Source organism: Homo sapiens, chromosome 1 (assembly GCF_000001405.40).
Source record: "Homo sapiens chromosome 1, GRCh38.p14 Primary Assembly".
NCBI classification, from domain to species: domain Eukaryota; kingdom Metazoa; phylum Chordata; class Mammalia; order Primates; family Hominidae; genus Homo; species Homo sapiens.
In genome coordinates, this window is record NC_000001.11 from 35,730,417 (window position 1) to 35,747,106 (window position 16,690).

Below are 16,690 nucleotides of genomic sequence, written 5' to 3' on the forward strand. Positions count from 1 at the left end.
AAAATTAGCCAGATGTGGTGGTGCACACCTGTAACCCCAGCTACTTGGGAGGCTGAGGCAGGAGAATTGATTGCCCGGGAGGCCGAGGTTGCAGTGAGCCAAGATCACGTCACTGCACTCCAGCCTGGGTGACAGAGTAAGAATCCATATTAAAAAAAAAAAAAAAAAAAAAAAAGAACAAGAAACTCAAACAGAGGTAACCTAATTAAGAAAGGAGTGGTAATGGTCAGAGAAGGCTTCTCTGAAGAAGTTAGGCTTAAGCTAACACCTTCCCCGTCTCTATCAAAAATACAAAAATTAGCCGGGTGTGGTGGTGCGTGCCTGTAACCCCAGCCCCTTGGGAGGCTGAGGCAGAATTGCTTGAACGGGGGAGACAAAGGTTGCAGTGAGCTGAGATCGTGCTACTGCACTCACTCCAGCCGGGGCGACAGAGCGAGAATCCATCTCAAAAAAAAAGAATAGGAAACTTATACAAAGGTAACCTAATTAAGAAAGGGGTGTTAGGCTGGACTTGGTGGCTCATGCCTGTAATCCCAGCACTGTGGGAGGCCAAGGCGGGCGGATCACGAGGTCAAGAGTTCGAGACCAGCCTGACCAACATAGTGAAACCCCGTCTCTACTGAAAATACAAAAATTAGCTGGGTGTAGTGGCGCATGCCTGTAATCCCAGCTACTTGGGAGGCTGGGGCAGGAGAATCGCCTGAACCCGGGAGGCAGAGGTTGCAGTGAGCCGAGATCGTACCACTGCATTCCAGCCTGGGCGACAGGGCGAGACTCTGTCTCAAAAAAAAAAAAAAGAAAGAAAGAAAAAAGAAAGGGGTGTTAATGGTCAGAGAAGGCTTCTCTGAGGAAATTAGGCTTAAGCTAACACCTTGAGAATTATGCATTAGTCAGACAAAGAAGGAGGATGGATGTAGGGGAGGGCATTCCAGGGAAAGAGGACACTTTAGATGCTCCTGAGGCTGCATGTCATGAGAAAGAAGAGTAGACAGCAGGTTGGGAGGCAGAGCTATGTCATGCATCGGCCATGAGAAGTTTGAACTTTGAGTGCAGCGGAAGACATTAAAAGATTTTAAGTAGTGAAGTGTCATCCTCCAAATTATATTTACATAAAGGTCGCCTCTGGCTGCTGTGCAGATTGGATGAAAAGGAAGCAAAAACAGAAGTGGGGGGGTCAGGAGGCTACGGTAGGACCCTAGAAAGAAATTGTGGAATCTTGGACCAGGGGGCTGGCCATAGAGCTGGAAGAAATGAGCTGATTCCAGATGCAATTTGGAAGTAGAAATAACAGAACTTGGAAATTGTCTGATTACAGGATTAAAGAACAGGTCAAGAATGCTCTCCAGATTTCCAGTCTGAGTGACTGGATATATGGAGGTACCTTTTACTGAAATGGCAAATACAGGAGGAAGAGCAGGTTTTTAGAGAAGATCACATTTTCATTTTAAGTTTGAGATATTTGAGAAACAATGGGCCTTTCAGAAGTGGCCTACAATATATGATATAATTGTGATACTGGTAATTTCTTTCATTCTCAAAGGAGGTGAATTTCTTTTTTCTGGGAGCTACTGGCAATTTCTTATGCTTACAGAGTGGCACTTGACATAATGCACTGACATACATTTTCCAACTGAAGCCCCCCAGCAACTCTGAGACAGCCATGACTTAGTATCCTCATTTTATAAACAGAGGCTCTGAAAGGTGTAGTGTTATTTATTCAAACTGTGGTAGGCACCACTACATTCCAAGCTGTGTGCCAGGCGATGAGTAGGATATAAGGGTAGAAGATACAATACCATCTCAAGGATGACATAATCAAATAGTATCATGGGAACACTCCTCCCAGAAATACTCTCCTCTATCCTTAGGAGCACAAATCCCAGGACAGGATGCCACAAGAGTGATTAGACATAACCCTAGGAGATAAAAACCAAAAACACCCCCTAAAAAGTCTCCCAGCCTGAGCATTAGAAACTCTCAAAGTGAGGAGAAGTTTGTAGAGAAGCAGTTGAGAAAATGAGGGATGCCACAGAGATCTGAGTACCTTGTCTCTAGAGCTTTGGTGAATAAAATCTTATGGTTTATGGAAGAGACCCTAGTATGGCTGTGCAACTGTGAATTAATGAGATGAAATTAGAGACCTGTTTAAAGAGGTTAATACCATGTATCCCTACTCAAGTGTATGGAACAAGGAAGAAACAAAAACACTGACACTGAGCCTACCCTATCTCCCACACTCATGGGCTCTCATCCCTCCAAATATGTAATTTCCAAGCTAGTGAAGCTGAGTCCTCCTCAGAGCCATAGTGGCAGGTCCTGGGGCTTCAATTTCATTAAAACATAACTGATGCTGCTGGCTCAGTGCTTTGGGCAAAGGGCATATGGGTCAGATTGAAACTGTCCATGTCAATCCTGTTACCAAGATCAAGGCTTAGCTTACTTTATAGCAGCCATCCTGGCATAAGGAAAAGTAACCCAGAGTTTGACTCAAGTTTTCTTTCTCCAAAGAGTGCTTTCTCCCAGGAGCCTCAATCAGAAACCATTTTCTTTCTTTCTTTTTTTTTTTGAGAGGGAGTCTCACTCTGTCGCCCATGCTGGAGAGCAGTGGCGTGATCTCGGCTCACTGCAACCTCTGCCTCCCAGGTTCAAGCAATTCTCTTGTCTCAGCCTCCCAAGTAGCTGGGACTACAGGCACCTGCCACCACCAAGCCTGGCTGATTTTTGTATTTTTAGTAGAGACGGGGTTTCACCTTGTTGGTCAGTCTGGTCTCCAACTCCTGACCTTAGGTGATCCAGCTGCCTCAGCCTCCCAAAGTGCTGAGATTACAGGCATAAGCCACCACGCCCAGCCCAGAAACCATTTTCTCCCTGGATTTCTCAGGCACTAATTTTCTTTTTTTTTTCTTTTTTTTTTTTTTTTTAGAGTTGGGATTTCACCATGTTTCCCAGGCTGGTCTCGAACTCCTGAGTTCAAGCAATGCACCCACCTCAGTCTCCTAAAGTGCTGGCGTGAGCCACCGGACCTGGCTGAATTTTCTTATCCTCAGTTGTCAATTCCAATTGTCTTTTCTATCTCTCCTCAAAAGACATGTAGGGAAACAAGAGGGAAGAAATATCTAGCCTTCCTGCTCAGTTCTCTTTTGCCCAGCAAGGGCTACTTTGCCTTGGGAACTGTTTAGAGAGTTCAAAGAAAGAGGCAAAAACATGTATCTTGAACCCATGGATAAAATGAAGTACATACAAACTTAGCTAAAGAGAAAGGCCAATCAAAGCTGTAACAGGCTGGGCATGGTGGCTGAGCCTGTGACCCCAGCATTTTGGGAGGCCAAGGTGGGAGGATTACTTGAGGCCAGGAGTTCAAGATCAGCTGGGGCAACACAGCAAGACCCTGTCTCTACTAAAATAAAATAATTAGCTGGGCATGGTGGCATATGCCTGTAATGTGGCCCAGCTATTCCAAAGGTTGAGGAAGGAGGATGCTGAAGCCCAGGAGTTCAAGGGTACAGTGAGCTATGATTGTGCCACTGCACTCTAACCTGGGCAACAGAATGAGACTGTCTCTAAAAAATAAGTTTTTTAAACAAAGAGCTATAATAGAAGGTACCATTTATGTAAACTCAATTATCCTCTTCACCTGAGCTGAACCCAAACCACTTGGTAAGTTAACTTGATCAATTCACTAGGACTGAGAAGCCAGTGAGGGGACAATTGCAGCAGCTTCTCAGTTTAGACCCAGAGGGTTTCCCTGGGATGGAGATAACCTGAAAATGAAATGCTCCTCAAGGTTAGACAGGCACTGACCCAAGAATGAGCATTCAAGCTGGACAGCAAATCTTCCCTTCAAGGCATTAAGATTTATTGAAAAACTACATACATATTAAAACATCTTTATACACATTTTCCCCATTATAAGATTACAAGTATACAAACATAAGTATTGTCAAAGTCAACATCTTGAGTATTAGAAAACTGTAGAAAACCGGCCGGGTGCGGTGGCTCATGCCTATAATCCCAGCACTTTGGGAGGCCGAGACGGGTGGATCACCTCAGGTCAGGAGTTCAAGACCAGCCTGGCCAACATGGCGAAACCTCATCTCTAATAAAAATACAAAAAATTAGCTGGGAGTGGTGGCAGGTGCCTGTAATCCCTGCTATTTGGGAGGCCGAGGCAGAATTGCTTGAACCTAGGAGGCGGAGGTTGCAGTAAGCCGAGATCATGCCATTGTATTCCAGCCTAGGTGACAGAGCCAGCCTATGTCTCAAAAAAAAAAAAAGAAAAGAAAAGAAAAGAAAAAGAAAAAGAAAAGAAAAGAAAAACTGTAAAAAACCTACAACCTAATTGCATCAATTAAATTGGTGTTCCCATCTCCCAGTAAAAAACTGGCACACTCTCTTCCAACTGCCCAAGTACAGGTCCTGACACTGAAACCACAGTATTCACATGGAATGTTTTTCCAAAGCAGCACTGATGCTCAGTTCTGAGGGGAAAAACATTTGTCTAAAATTCTGAGAAGCTTGTGGTAGTTCAGGGAAAATGGAGAATGATGGCAATTCTCTTCAATAATATTTTTATTAAATTCCATGGTGGCCTTCTCTCAAAATTAGTAATGAAATGCTGAAATGTCCATTGATTAGTGAGGGCAATGTATGTAAGCCAGAAGAATGCAATAAATAAGGGTTATGTTTCTTCTTGTCAGACCCAGAAGGGAGATCTTTGAACAACAGTGCTTCAAATTGAGAATTCAGTCCCAGGAAGGGTCTCTCTGCCCCACAGACTGTGGTGGACAAACACTGGGTGTAACACTTTATCTTCATCCCCAAGCCCCAGAAAATTAGAGGCAGAGTCTTTCTGACTTGGGTACCAGTTTAAGTCCTTATTAAGCAGCAAAAATTAATTCAAAATTTGATGCTGCCTTGGGAAGAAGCATACAGGAAAATGAAAGGGGTAAGAGTAATACAGCAGCCCATCTGTTGGTTCCTAGGTCCTCCATCTAAGAAATCGTTCTTTTGGCTGGGCACAGTGGCTCACGCCTGTAATCTCAGCACTTTGGGAGGCTGAGGCAGCTGGATCACTTGAGGTCAGGAGATCGAGACCAGCCTGGCCAACATGGTGACTCCCTGTCTCCACTAAAAATACAAAAATTAGCCAGGTGTGGTGGCATGCACCTGTAGTCCCAGCTACTTGGGAGGCTGAGACAGGAGAATCACTTGAACCCGGGAGGCAGAGGTTGCCGTGAGCCGAGATTGCGCCACTGCACTCCAGACTGGGCAACAAAGTGAGACTATCTCAAAAAAAAAAAAAGAAATCTTTCTTTCACCGAGCCCTGGTCATCATGGTACGTATCTCATGGGTGTAAAGGAGTCATTATGGTACTGATTTTCACTGTTTAATCTGTAATGTCACACTTTTCCCTACTCTTCCTCTTCCAACCACTTCTATCAATCACAAAGAGATATTAACCCAGAAAGCTGCTACAATAAAATGTCAAATGTCTAATGGAGGAAGTGAAACCTAACCCAAGGCCAGGTGCAGTGACTCATGCATGTGACCAGCACTTTGTGGGGCCGAGGTGGATGGATCATTTGAGGTCAGGAGTTCAAGACCAGCCTGGCCAACATGGTGAAACCCCGTCTCTACTAAAAATACAAAAATTAGCTGGGCGTATTGGCACATGCCTGTAATCCCAGCTACTCGGGAGGCTGAAGGAGGAGAATCGCTTGAACCTGGGAGGCAGAGATTGTGGTGAGCCGAGATCACGCCACTGCACTCCAAGCTGGGCAACAGAGTGAGACTCCCATCTTAAAAAAAAAAAAAAAAAGGAAACCTCACCCAAGTATTCCATGAGTTGTTGATGTTGTAAATACTGCAGAATTGAAATCAGTGGCCAATTCAGGGAATAATACTAGGAAAAGAGATGTCCAGAGCTGTGCAGTAGAAATCACTGGAATTTCTGTCTGCAATCTTATTGCATTGATTATGAAAGAAGGAAGGATCATTGGCTGGAGTGTCAATTCCAACTTTCAGTGCTAGAAACTTCTCAAAGCAGTCTCAATGTAGATTTTGGCACCTTTGATGGTGTTAGCTCTCCAAATATTTGAAGATGCTTCGCGTCAATCCTGAAGTGCTATCATCTGTTTTGAGGTGCTTAGGTGAAGGAGAAGTCATGAAAGATGGACCCCTTTTCTTTACCTAGAGAGCAGAGAGGGAGTCAGGGCCAGCTAAAGACCTTCATACAAGTATTTACCTTCAATTAGCTCTCAAGCAACTCATAAATTGTGGATGATTAACAACAGAAAAAAAGAAAGAAAGATAAACTTTCTCGGCAAGTTTAAAAGTTGATTACCGACTGGGGTAGCAATTCTCTTGTACCTTATCGGGGAGTGCAAGATTTCAACATTGCAGCATAGAGGTTAAGCCAGAATTTTTGTTTTTAAATTTAAATAAATGAATAAATTCTGGTTTGGGAAGCCACCATATTAGTTCTCAAATTCCATACCTGAGACTTAGACGATTCCTTTGCCGCCTCAGCCTTGACAGGAGAAAGTGTATGAAAGACAAAGTTTCTTGAATTTCGAGGAGCACTGGGGTTATGGTCAGAGAGAGCAGCCAGTTTCTGAAGCACAGCTTTGGGCTGGTTTAGCAGTGAGCCTGTCTTCACCTGAGGAAAGAAGAGTCATCTGGTATCAAATCCCAAGTGCCAACTAAAGAATGAAAAGTCCTTCCCTCCCTGCTTCCCCCTAGATATTGAGGGTACATATGCCTACCCTATTCAAATAGAAAAGAAATAGCAGACTCCTTTGACATTAACTTTTTCCCTGCAGCCACCTCCTTCCTCTAATGACAGAGACTATTCTCTAAGCTGGACCTGGGCCTTTATAACCTGTAGACTATGATGTCAGATTAACAAGGTTCCCAACCAACCTGTTGAGCACTTCCTGGTCTGATGGCTTCAAAAGGATTTCTGAGCAAAGACTTTGATTCCTGAATAACCATAGGGCGACTGGCTGGAAAGAAAAGACAGAGAGGCCTATTCTGGGAAAAGCTGATTAGAATTACTTTTAAATCTAAACAAGCTAAGAAATCTTGTAACTAAATCAATATGCTAAAGCCATGGGAACTCTGTTCTATATAATGGTGACTTTCAAACTATAATAATTGGCTCCAAGAAGAGACACAACTAAGTTGAACAGTAATCATTTAAGAAAAACAGAAGTGGTCAGTGTAGGGAATAGTGAAGAGCTTCATTTCTGGAGTTAAATATTCCTGGATTCAAATCCTACCTCTAACACTTAGGTATACAATCCTGGGCAACTAGAGAAAGCCAGAATTAACTACTCTGAGCCTTAGAACATAAAGTAAAACCAGCCACATATACTCATGAATACAGTCTCTACTGCCCAATAGTCTAAGATCTAAGTACACTGTCTCCCACCACCTCTGTGAAGCCTCTTTAAGACAGTATTAGACACAAGCTTATGATTAAGCTGCAACAGCTCCTGAAGGTTAGAGTCACCTCCAAAGCTCTACCACTAACAATCCAGGGGGCTAGACCCTAAGGAGAAACAAGAGCTCACCATTCTTCTGCAGTGCTTTGGCTGTAACTTTCTTGGCCAGTATCATAAACTGACTGTCCTCCCCAATTTCTTCTTCTTCTTCAGCTGTAATTTTCCCCTGCTGTGCCTGAAAAAAAAAAAAAATATATATATATATATATATATATATACAGCATTAAAAGTCTATAACCTTCCTAAATAGTTAGCATGGCCTGGATTGTGAAACTAGAGTTCCTGGGGTATTTGTTTTCCTTTTTGCAGCCTTTGCTGCTTTAGACAAAAAAAAATTAATCTTAGACAAACATGAAGAGAACTGTCTATGGTATAGCCTTCTCAAAACACAAAAGATAGCTCAAGGATTAAAAGAGATAGCAATATGTTGCCTAAGATTTTGAAACTATCATGACAAGCTAAGATTTTGAAACTATCATGACAAGCTAAGGGACAGTCTCATAAACTAGGGTCAGAGTAGGTGAACTCCTACCATGTCCCGAAGCCACTGCTCTCGTTCAATTCGCTCCTTCCTCCACCTGGCTTCTGACTCATCAAGCTGTTCTTCAGTCTGATCATCATCAGAGTCTCTGTGGAACAAGTCCATCTGGGAAGCATCATCTAAACAAAGAGTGAAGGTAATCAGCATTCGGCAGTCCTCACAGGAGAGGGTGCTTGGACAGACAAAAAATAAACCCTTATCATTTACTATATAATGATGTAAACTTTTCCCATCCATTAACAGAAAACAGTTACAACTAGGTCTTCACATAGCCTGTTATAGTTTTGCTTGCCATTTGCCATCTGAAACTCGACAAATATGCATTGTAACTGTTTGCTTTTTTTTTTTTTTTTTTGAGATGGAGTCTCGCTCTGTCGCCCAGGCTGGAGTGCAATGGCATGATCTCTGCTCACTGCAACCTCCGTCTCCCGGGTTCACGCAATTCTCCTGCCTCAGCCTCCTGAGTAGCTGGGATTACAGGCGCGTGCCATCACAGCCTGCTAATTTTTGAACTTTTAGTAGGGACGGGGTTTCACCATGTTGTTCAGGCTGGTCCTGAACTCCTGACCTTGTGATCCACCTGCCTCTGCCTCCCAAAGTGTTGGGATTACAGGCGTGAGCCACCATGCTCAGCCCGTAACTGATTGCTTTTAAAGACAACAACCAAGATACCTATGTTTTTCCATCGAAACTTCCTCATTCGCCCAGGACCATCGCTGTGCAGATCCCCATCAGCAAGGTACCTCTCTTGGTATAAACGTAGCTGTCGCTTATCATCATCCAACATAGTTTTCCTGCAACAGGAGAAATAAGGTGTTCAAAACAAGGACCATTCTGGCTGGTTACAGGGCTTGTCTTAAGATGTACCCTATTACTCAGAAGGGCTTATTGGGATACTGACATGTGTATTTTCTTGATTTGACTCTGCAGTTCCTCATCAGAAGGAAGTACTTCATCAATTACGTCCTCTTCATATTCATCAATTTCTTCCCCATCATACTCATCTTCGCTTCCCACATCACTTCCTGACACCTCTGCCTCATCCTCCAGGTATTTCCTCAACCTCCTAGAAAGCAATTTTGAGGATTAGAAAATGCAACAATGAATATACTCACAGAATATGGAAGCAAAGAAAAGCAGAACAGAGTCACTTCTAATAATAATAAACATAATACATTTGATAATATTTAAATTTTTTTGTAATAGTCTCCACTTATGATGGTTTGACTTAATGATTTTTCAACTTTACGATGACATGAATGTGATACGCACTTAGTATGCTTCTCGATTTACGATGGAGTTATATCTGGATAATATGAAAGTGCATTTTCAACTTATGATGGATTGATCAGGATATAGTCCCATTGTAAGATGTGGAGCATCTGTATTTAAAAGTTGATCACTTAATATGTCTTGTGTGCTAATAACTGTGCTTTACAGGCATTAACATATTATCATAGGAATGGGTACTATTATTCTCTTCATTTTACAGTTGAGGGAATTGAGCCTCAGAAAGATTACATTTACCCAAGGTCACATAGCTAGAAGGTAGCAGAGCCTGGATTCAACTTAGATTGGGTGATTTGAAAGCCAGAAAACTCTTAATCTCTTTTACATGTATTAGAATACCTGCTGGAAGGTTCAAACTATTTCATTTTGCATTTGAGCACACCAGCTTTAAGAGACAAACTAGAGATGGTGTGGTGTAGAAAGGTAATAAACTGGGATCTTCTTACAGCCTAACAAATCTTGACCCCCACATCAGAAGGAAGACTAAGGCTCAGAGCTCCTGGTAATCAAAACGACTAGTTACTTCTTATGACTTCAGCTCCCCCGGAGAATAAATCTGGTGTCACCCTGGATTCAAAGTCACCTTGGTCCCATGTGGTCCAAAATGGCAGAAGTTTGGTGGCTTTCTGAAAACTGATTTTTATCGAAGACCTATACTGTATTTTCTCTTTTTTTTTTTTTTTGAGATGAAGTGTCGCTCTGTCGCCTAGGCTGGAGTGCAGAGATGCCATCTCGGCTCACTGCAACCTCCACCTCCTGGGTTCAAGTGATTCTCATGCCTCAACCTCCCGAGTAGCTGGGATTACAGGTGCGTGCCACCATGCCTGGCTAATTTTTGTTTTTTTAGTAGAGATAGGGTTTCACCATGTTGGCCAGGGTGGTCTTGAACTCCTGACCTCAGGGGATCTGTCCATCTCAGCCTCCCAAAGTGCTGGGATTACAGGCATGAGCCACCACGCCCAGCCTATACTGTATTTTCTTAAAGCTAAGTTGTTCTAAATCCTAGAGTTCCTGGAAAATTCCTTCAGAGGCCACTAGTCACTAAGTTTCCCAAACTTCCCACTTACCATCTTTGAACAGTTCAACTTTTATCTGTCATTCTTTAAAAGATTTTATTTGAACAAAGAGCTCTGCAGAGAAGAACCACTACCTTAGAAAAATCTATGGATAACCTAAAGCTGTATGAGAGTTAATTTGATAGGTGATAAATTAGAACCCAAAGTGAATCTTAATAGAATGAAATGATGGGATAAAAGCAACCATATAAATCTAATAGGGATCAATATGATGTCCTATATGTGAATTCCAAATCATTCACATACAATATAATATTAAATACCTATTAGAATTATCTTTATAAAACTTTTTTTAACATCATAGGAAAATGTTTCTGGATATGCTAAGTAGAAAAAAAAAGATGCAAAATTATACATATAGAAAGATTGTACAAATCTCAACTATATAAAAATATATGCATAAAAAAGATTAAGGGGAACAAACTAACTTTCATTTATATCCTGGATGGTGGACATGGATAAGTTTTTATTTATATCTTTCTGTATTCTTTTTTTGCGGGGGTCGGGGAGAATGGAGTTTCTCTCGTCGCCCAGGCTGGAATGCAATGGCACAATCTCAGCTCACTGCACCCTCCACCTCCCGGTTCAAGCGATTCTCCAGCTTTGCCTCCTGAGTAGCTGGGATTACAGGCACTGGCCATCACGCTTGGCTAATTTTGTATTTTTAGTAGAGACGGGGTCTCGCCATGTTGGCCAGGCTGGTCTCGAACTCCTGACCTCAGGTGATCCACCCGCCTCAGCTTCCCAAAGTGCTGAGATTATAGGCGTGGGCCACTGCACCCAGTTTGTATTCTTTTAAATATCCTAAAATAAATATTTTACTTTCATGACCAGAACAGCATATCAAAAAAATGAGTTGGGCCGGCCAGGTGGGGTGGCTCACGCCTGTAATCCCAGCATGTTGGAAGGCCAAGGCGGGTGGATCGTGAGGTCAAGAGATCGAGACCATCCTGACCAACATGGTGAAACCCCGTCTCTACTAAATATACAAAAATTAGCTGGGTGTGGTGGCACGTGCCTATATTCCCAGCTACTCAGGAGGCTGAAGCAGGAGAATCGCTTTGAACCCGGGAGGCGGAGGTTGCAGTGAGCCGAGATCATGCCACTGCCCTCCAGCCTGGGCGACAGAGCGAGACTCCGTCTCAAAAAAAAAAAAAAAAAAAAAAAAAAAAGCTGGGCCTGGTGGCTCATGCCTGTAATCCCAGACTTTGGGAAGCAGAGGCAGGAGGATCACTTGAGGCCAACAGTTTAAGACCAGCCTGGGAACAAAGCAAGGCCCCATCTCTACAAAAAATAGAAAGAATTAGCCAGGTGTGGTGGCACATGCCTGTTGTCCCAGCTACTTGGGAAGCTGAGGCAGGAGGATTTAAGTTAAAAAGTGGCAAACTATTAACTGACTGTTAGGGGAGATTTCACCTAATCTAAGTTGAATCCAGCCTCTGCTGCCTTCTAGCTATGTGATCTTGGGTAAATTTAATCTTTCTGAGGCTCAGTTCCTTCAACTGTAAAATGAGGAGAATAATAGTACCCACTCATAAGATAATTTTTTTGAGATGGAGTCTTGCTCTATCACCCAGGCTGGAGTGCAGTGGGGCAATCTTGGCTCACTGCAACCTCCGCCTCCCATATTCAAGCAATTCTCCTGCCTCAGCCTCCCAAGTAGCTGGCACTACAGGCGCCCAGAACCATGCCTGGCTAATTTTTGTATTTTATTTTGTATTTTGTATTTTTAGTAGAGAGGGTTTCACCATGTTGGTCACGCTGGTCTCAAACTCCTGACCTCAAGTAATATGCCTGCCTTGGCCTCCCAAAGTGCTGGGATTACAGGCGTGAGCCACTGTGCCTGGCATAAGATAATATGTTAATGCCTGTAAAGCACAGTTATTAGCACACAGGACATATTAAGTGATCAACTTTTTTTTTTTTTTTTTTTTTGAGACAGAGTCTCGCTCTGTCACCCAGGCTGAAATGCAGTGGTGCGATCTCGGCTCACTGCAACCTCCACCTCCTGGGTGCAAGCGATTCTCCCTGCCTCAGCTTCCTGAGTAGCTGGGACTACAGGCACCTGTCATCACATCTGGCTAATTTTTATATTTTTTAGTAGAGACAGGGTTTCACCATGTTTGTCAGGATGGTCTCGATCTCTTGACCTGTGTCACCAAGACCAGGCTGGTCTTGAACTCCTGACCTCAGGTGATCCGCCTGCTTCAGCCTCCCAAAATGATGGGATTACAGGCGCAAGCCACCATGCCTGGCCTAGTGACCAAATTTTAAATACACCTGAAGGAATGGACATATTAATAACACGTACATTTGCCTTTTCAACTTCTCAGATCGCTTCAGGAGTTCTTCTTCATCATCATCTTCATGGTCTTCCAGTGCCAGATCATTACCAGAGTCACTGTGTTCATCCTACAAAATCAGCATCATATCCAAATTAAGCAGAATAAAATGCGTCCTCAATGAAAAAAGGATTTATAAACATCTGCCCAAATACCTCATTCTAGGAAATTGTTTCTGATAAGATGCCAAACTTAGAATTCTCAAGAACTGAGGGGAAAAAAACACTTGAGGGCAGCAATACATGGAGCTCAGTTATGATTACTTTGTTCCCTTCATACTCACCTCATCACTATCAAACTCATTATCATTTGAAACAAGCCGAAAGTCTCCAAATTCCTCCTCCTCGTCTTCCTCTTCCCTAAAATGTAAATCAATGAATCAATAAATAAGTTGTTGAAAGCAAACTACAAGTAGTCAGCCAAGTTATGAATTAAAAAAAATTTTGTGTGTGTTAATTTTTTTTTTTTCTCTGAGACAGTCTTGGTCTCTTACACCACCTGGAATACAGTGGCACCATCTCAGCTCACTGTAACCTCCACCTCCAGGGCTCAAGTGATCCTCCCACATCAGCCTCCTGAGTAGCTGGGACTAGAGATACAAGCCACCATGTTCAGCTAATTTTTGTATTTTTGTAGAGACAGATTTCACCATGTTGCCCAGGTTCATCTTGAATTTCTGGATTCAAGCAATCTGCTTGCCTTGGGCTCCCAAAGTACTGGGATTATAGGTATGAGCCACCTCGCCCAGCCAAATTTAAAACTTTTATTATCACCAATAATCTCTTCAATAAACAGGAAGAAAATTTTTTAAATTTTCAATTGTGGTAAAATACACATAATATAAAATTTGCCTTTTTAACGATCTTTCTATAGTTCTGTAGTGTTAAGTACATTCATATTGTTAAGCAATCTCCAGAACTCTTTTCAGCTTGCAAAACTAAAACTCTATACCCATTACACTCTCCATTTCCTTATAACCTCAGTCTCTGGCAACCACCATTCTACCTTCTGTCTCTATGCATTTGACTACTCTAAGTATCTCATGTAAGTGGACTCATACAGTATTTGTCTTTTGGTGACTGGCTTATTTCTTTTAGCATAACATTCTAAGGTTCATCCATGTTGTAGCAAGTGTCAGAACTTCTTTTTTTTTGAGACAGGGTCTTGCTCTGATGCCCAGAGTGCAGTGGCACAATCATGGCTCAATGCAGCATTGACCTCCCAGGCTCAAGCAATTCTCCCACCTCAGCCCCCTGAATAGCTGGTACTGCCGGCACACGCCTAGCTAATTTTAGTATTTTTTTTATAGGGATGGGGTTTTGCCATATTATCCAGGCTGGTCTCAAACTCCTGAGCTCAAGTGATGCGCCCACCTCAGCCACCCAAAGTGTTGGGATTACACGTGTGAGCCACCATGCCCAGCCAGAATTTCCATTTTAAGTTGAATATTCCTTTGCATATATACCGCATTTTGTTTACCCATTCATTTGCCAATAAACATAGGTCGCTTTCATGTTTTGACTACTTACTGTGAATAATGCTGCTTTGAACATGGGGGTGCAAATATCTGTTCAAGTCCTGCTTTCACTTTTTTGGGGTACAGACTAAGAAGTGAAATTGCTGGATCATATGGTCATTCTATTTTTATTTATTTATTTTGAGACGGAGTTTTGTTCTTGTTGCCCAGGTTGGAGTGCAATGGCATGATCTCGGCTCACTACAACCTCTGCCTCCCGGGTTCAAGCAATTCTCCTGCCTCAGCCTCCCAAGTAGCTGGGATTACAGGCATGCGCCACCATGCCCAGCTAATTTTTTGTATTTAGTAGAGACGGGGTTTCACCATGTTGGTCAGGCTGGTCTCGAACTCCTGACCTCAGATGATCCACCGTGCCTGGCCTCTATTTTTAATTTTTGAGGAGCCATCATACTTTCCCTGGCAGCTGCACTATTTTACATTCTCACCAATAGTACACAAGGTTTCCAATTTCTCCACATTCTCACTAACACTCTTGGGGTTTTTCTGATAAAAGTCATCTTAATGGGTGTCTCACTATGGTTTTGATTGGCATTTCTCTATTAATGATATTAAATAGCTTTCATATTCTTGCCTTTTTTACCCTGTTCTCCACCAAAGCATTATAATTTGCTTACTAGGCATATATGAGACTCAAATCCACTGCAAGATTCTCAGAAAAGGTGCAAAGCCCTTAAGATGATCAGTTATTTTGATTTTATCAAAAGGCCAGGCCTTCCCAAATTCCCAGCAATCTGAGACTTACTTGTCTGTGGGAAAAGAGCCTGAGCAAAGAGCAAGTGCTTCTTCCATTGGATCACCCATGCTGCTCTCCTTCTCCTGTTTATTTAACTCTGATGAGGCTGGAGTGGAGGCATCTACATCACAACAAGGAAAAGATGTGTCACCAAGGAATGATAGCTTTATACTCTTTTCCCAGCCATCTAAAGTCATGCCAGCTCGATACAGTTCTAAGGTAAGCTTGCCAAGAAGAGCCTACCATCTATTCATTCAACAAATCCTTATTTAGTGCTTACTATGTGCCATATGTGCCAGGCCACCAGGGATACAGTAATGAACAAACCACTATCCCAGGTCTCATAGAGCTTATGTTCGATCTAGCAGTTGTGTGTATTGGGGGCAGGGAACAGGAAGTAAGTTAACATTTATATGAAATTTATTATACATCAGACACTGTTCTAAACTTTGTACATACATTAATCATAAATGATATATGGGCAAAGCTAAAGCAGTCTTTTTTTTTTTCAAGACTTTTTTTTTGAGACAGTCTCTCTCTGTTGCCCAGGCTGGAGTGCAGTGGCACAATCTCGGCTCACTGCAACCTCCACCTCCGGGGTTCAAGCAGTTCTCCTGTCTCAGCCTCCCAAGTAGCTGCGATTACAGGCACGGGCCACCATGCCCAGATAATTTTTTGTATTTTAGTAGAGACGGGGTTTCACCGTGCTGCCCAGGCTGGTGGCGAACTCCTGAGCTCAGGAAATCCCCCGCCTTGGCCTCCCAAAGTGCTGGGATTACAGGCGTGAGCCACTGCGCCCGGCCTAAAGTAGTCTTAAGTTGATACTTTACCACTCTAAGAAAGTAAGAGTTCTAAATATCAGGGCACTAAGCAGTGAATTCAGTTTATACACAGATTCCATCACAGCCCTGTTTTCTGTGAACTTTTCACCTGAGGGTAAGGGGCTTCTTTTCTTTCTTTCTTTTTTTCTATTTTTATGCAGGGTCTCTGCCACCCAGGCTGGAGTGCACTGGTGTGATCTCAGCTCACTGCAACCTTCATCTCCCAGGCTCAAGAGATCCTCCCACCTCAGCCTCCCAAGTAGCTAGGACCACAGGCACGTGCCACCATGCCTGGCTAATTTTTTTTTTTTTTTTCGTAGAGATGGGGATTTGCCATGTTGCCCAGGCTGGTCTCAAACTTCTGAGCTCAAGCGATCCATCCAACTTAGCCTCCCAAAGTTCTAGGATTACAGGCATGAGCCACCCCACCCGCCCAGGGAATTCTTTTCAAGGGCACTGATACTTGGGTGTGGTAAGCTTGATACTCTCGGTTGGATATTTACCCTGAGAAGTGAATTTTCCTGAACAAAGGTTCAGAAGTTCCTCCATGTTCTCTTTCTTGTCACTCTTCCTGGGTAGATGTTTTTCAGCCTGAGATGTGAACTTTCCAGTACACAAATCCAACAGCTCATCCATGTTGGCATCCATGGCATTCTCATCCATACTGGCCAATGGCAATCGAGGCTTCAAAGCTTGGTACTGATTCCTGTGGTTTCTAACATTTAAGAACCTAAGAACCAATGAGCACAACGAATAGTGTAAAAAATTCCTCAGAGAGGGCCGGGTGCGGTAGCTCACGCCTGTAATCCCAGCACTTCGGGAGGCCGAGGCGGGCGGATCACGA

General features: G+C 43.0%; 1 protein-coding gene and 1 long non-coding RNA gene across 4 annotated transcripts in view, besides 3 other annotated features; one reads left to right on the top strand and one right to left on the bottom strand.

Annotated features, from left to right (window-relative positions):
- Window positions 1–16,690, bottom strand: part of CLSPN (claspin) — a 49,766-nt gene that overhangs the window by 10,204 nt on the left and 22,872 nt on the right. For 2 of the 3 annotated variants that reach the window (NM_001190481.2, NM_022111.4), the window contains 11 exons: window positions 16,350–16,576; window positions 15,035–15,146; window positions 13,039–13,114; window positions 12,725–12,825; window positions 8,949–9,113; window positions 8,720–8,841; window positions 8,039–8,166; window positions 7,576–7,681; window positions 6,923–7,005; window positions 6,498–6,659; window positions 1,696–6,190 (listed from right to left, as the gene is read on the bottom strand). In NM_001190481.2, the coding sequence (NP_001177410.1) occupies window positions 6,080–6,190; window positions 6,498–6,659; window positions 6,923–7,005; window positions 7,576–7,681; window positions 8,039–8,166; window positions 8,720–8,841; window positions 8,949–9,113; window positions 12,725–12,825; window positions 13,039–13,114; window positions 15,035–15,146; window positions 16,350–16,576 (1,393 nt within the window). In that variant the 3' untranslated portion in view covers window positions 1,696–6,079. Of the gene's footprint in view, window positions 1–1,695; window positions 6,191–6,497; window positions 6,660–6,922; window positions 7,006–7,575; window positions 7,682–8,038; window positions 8,167–8,719; window positions 8,842–8,948; window positions 9,114–12,724; window positions 12,826–13,038; window positions 13,115–15,034; window positions 15,147–16,349; window positions 16,577–16,690 lie in introns of those variants that run through there. The other variant, NM_001330490.2, reaches the window with a different exon arrangement.
- Window positions 7,878–8,379: an enhancer, noted in NCBI's record as "NANOG hESC enhancer chr1:36203895-36204396 (GRCh37/hg19 assembly coordinates)". NCBI's record gives its function as "activates a minimal SCP1, AML or CMV promoter by ChIP-STARR-seq in primed H9 embryonic stem cells {active_cell/tissue: H9 hESC(primed)}" and the evidence as "EXISTENCE:reporter gene assay evidence [ECO:0000049][PMID:30033119]".
- Window positions 7,878–9,322: a biological region, named in NCBI's record as "CDK7 strongly-dependent group 2 enhancer GRCh37_chr1:36204140-36205339".
- Window positions 8,123–9,322: an enhancer, noted in NCBI's record as "CDK7 strongly-dependent group 2 enhancer chr1:36204140-36205339 (GRCh37/hg19 assembly coordinates)". NCBI's record gives its function as "activates an origin of replication core promoter dependent on BRD2, BRD4, P300/CBP, MED14 and CDK7 cofactors, with strong dependence on CDK7, by STARR-seq in HCT116 cells {active_cell/tissue: HCT116}" and the evidence as "EXISTENCE:reporter gene assay evidence [ECO:0000049][PMID:35650434]".
- CLSPN-AS1 (CLSPN antisense RNA 1) lies at window positions 9,029–13,160 on the top strand. The gene is made up of 2 exons (NR_199043.1): window positions 9,029–9,097; window positions 12,747–13,160. It is a non-coding gene; the product is annotated as a CLSPN antisense RNA 1 (long non-coding RNA).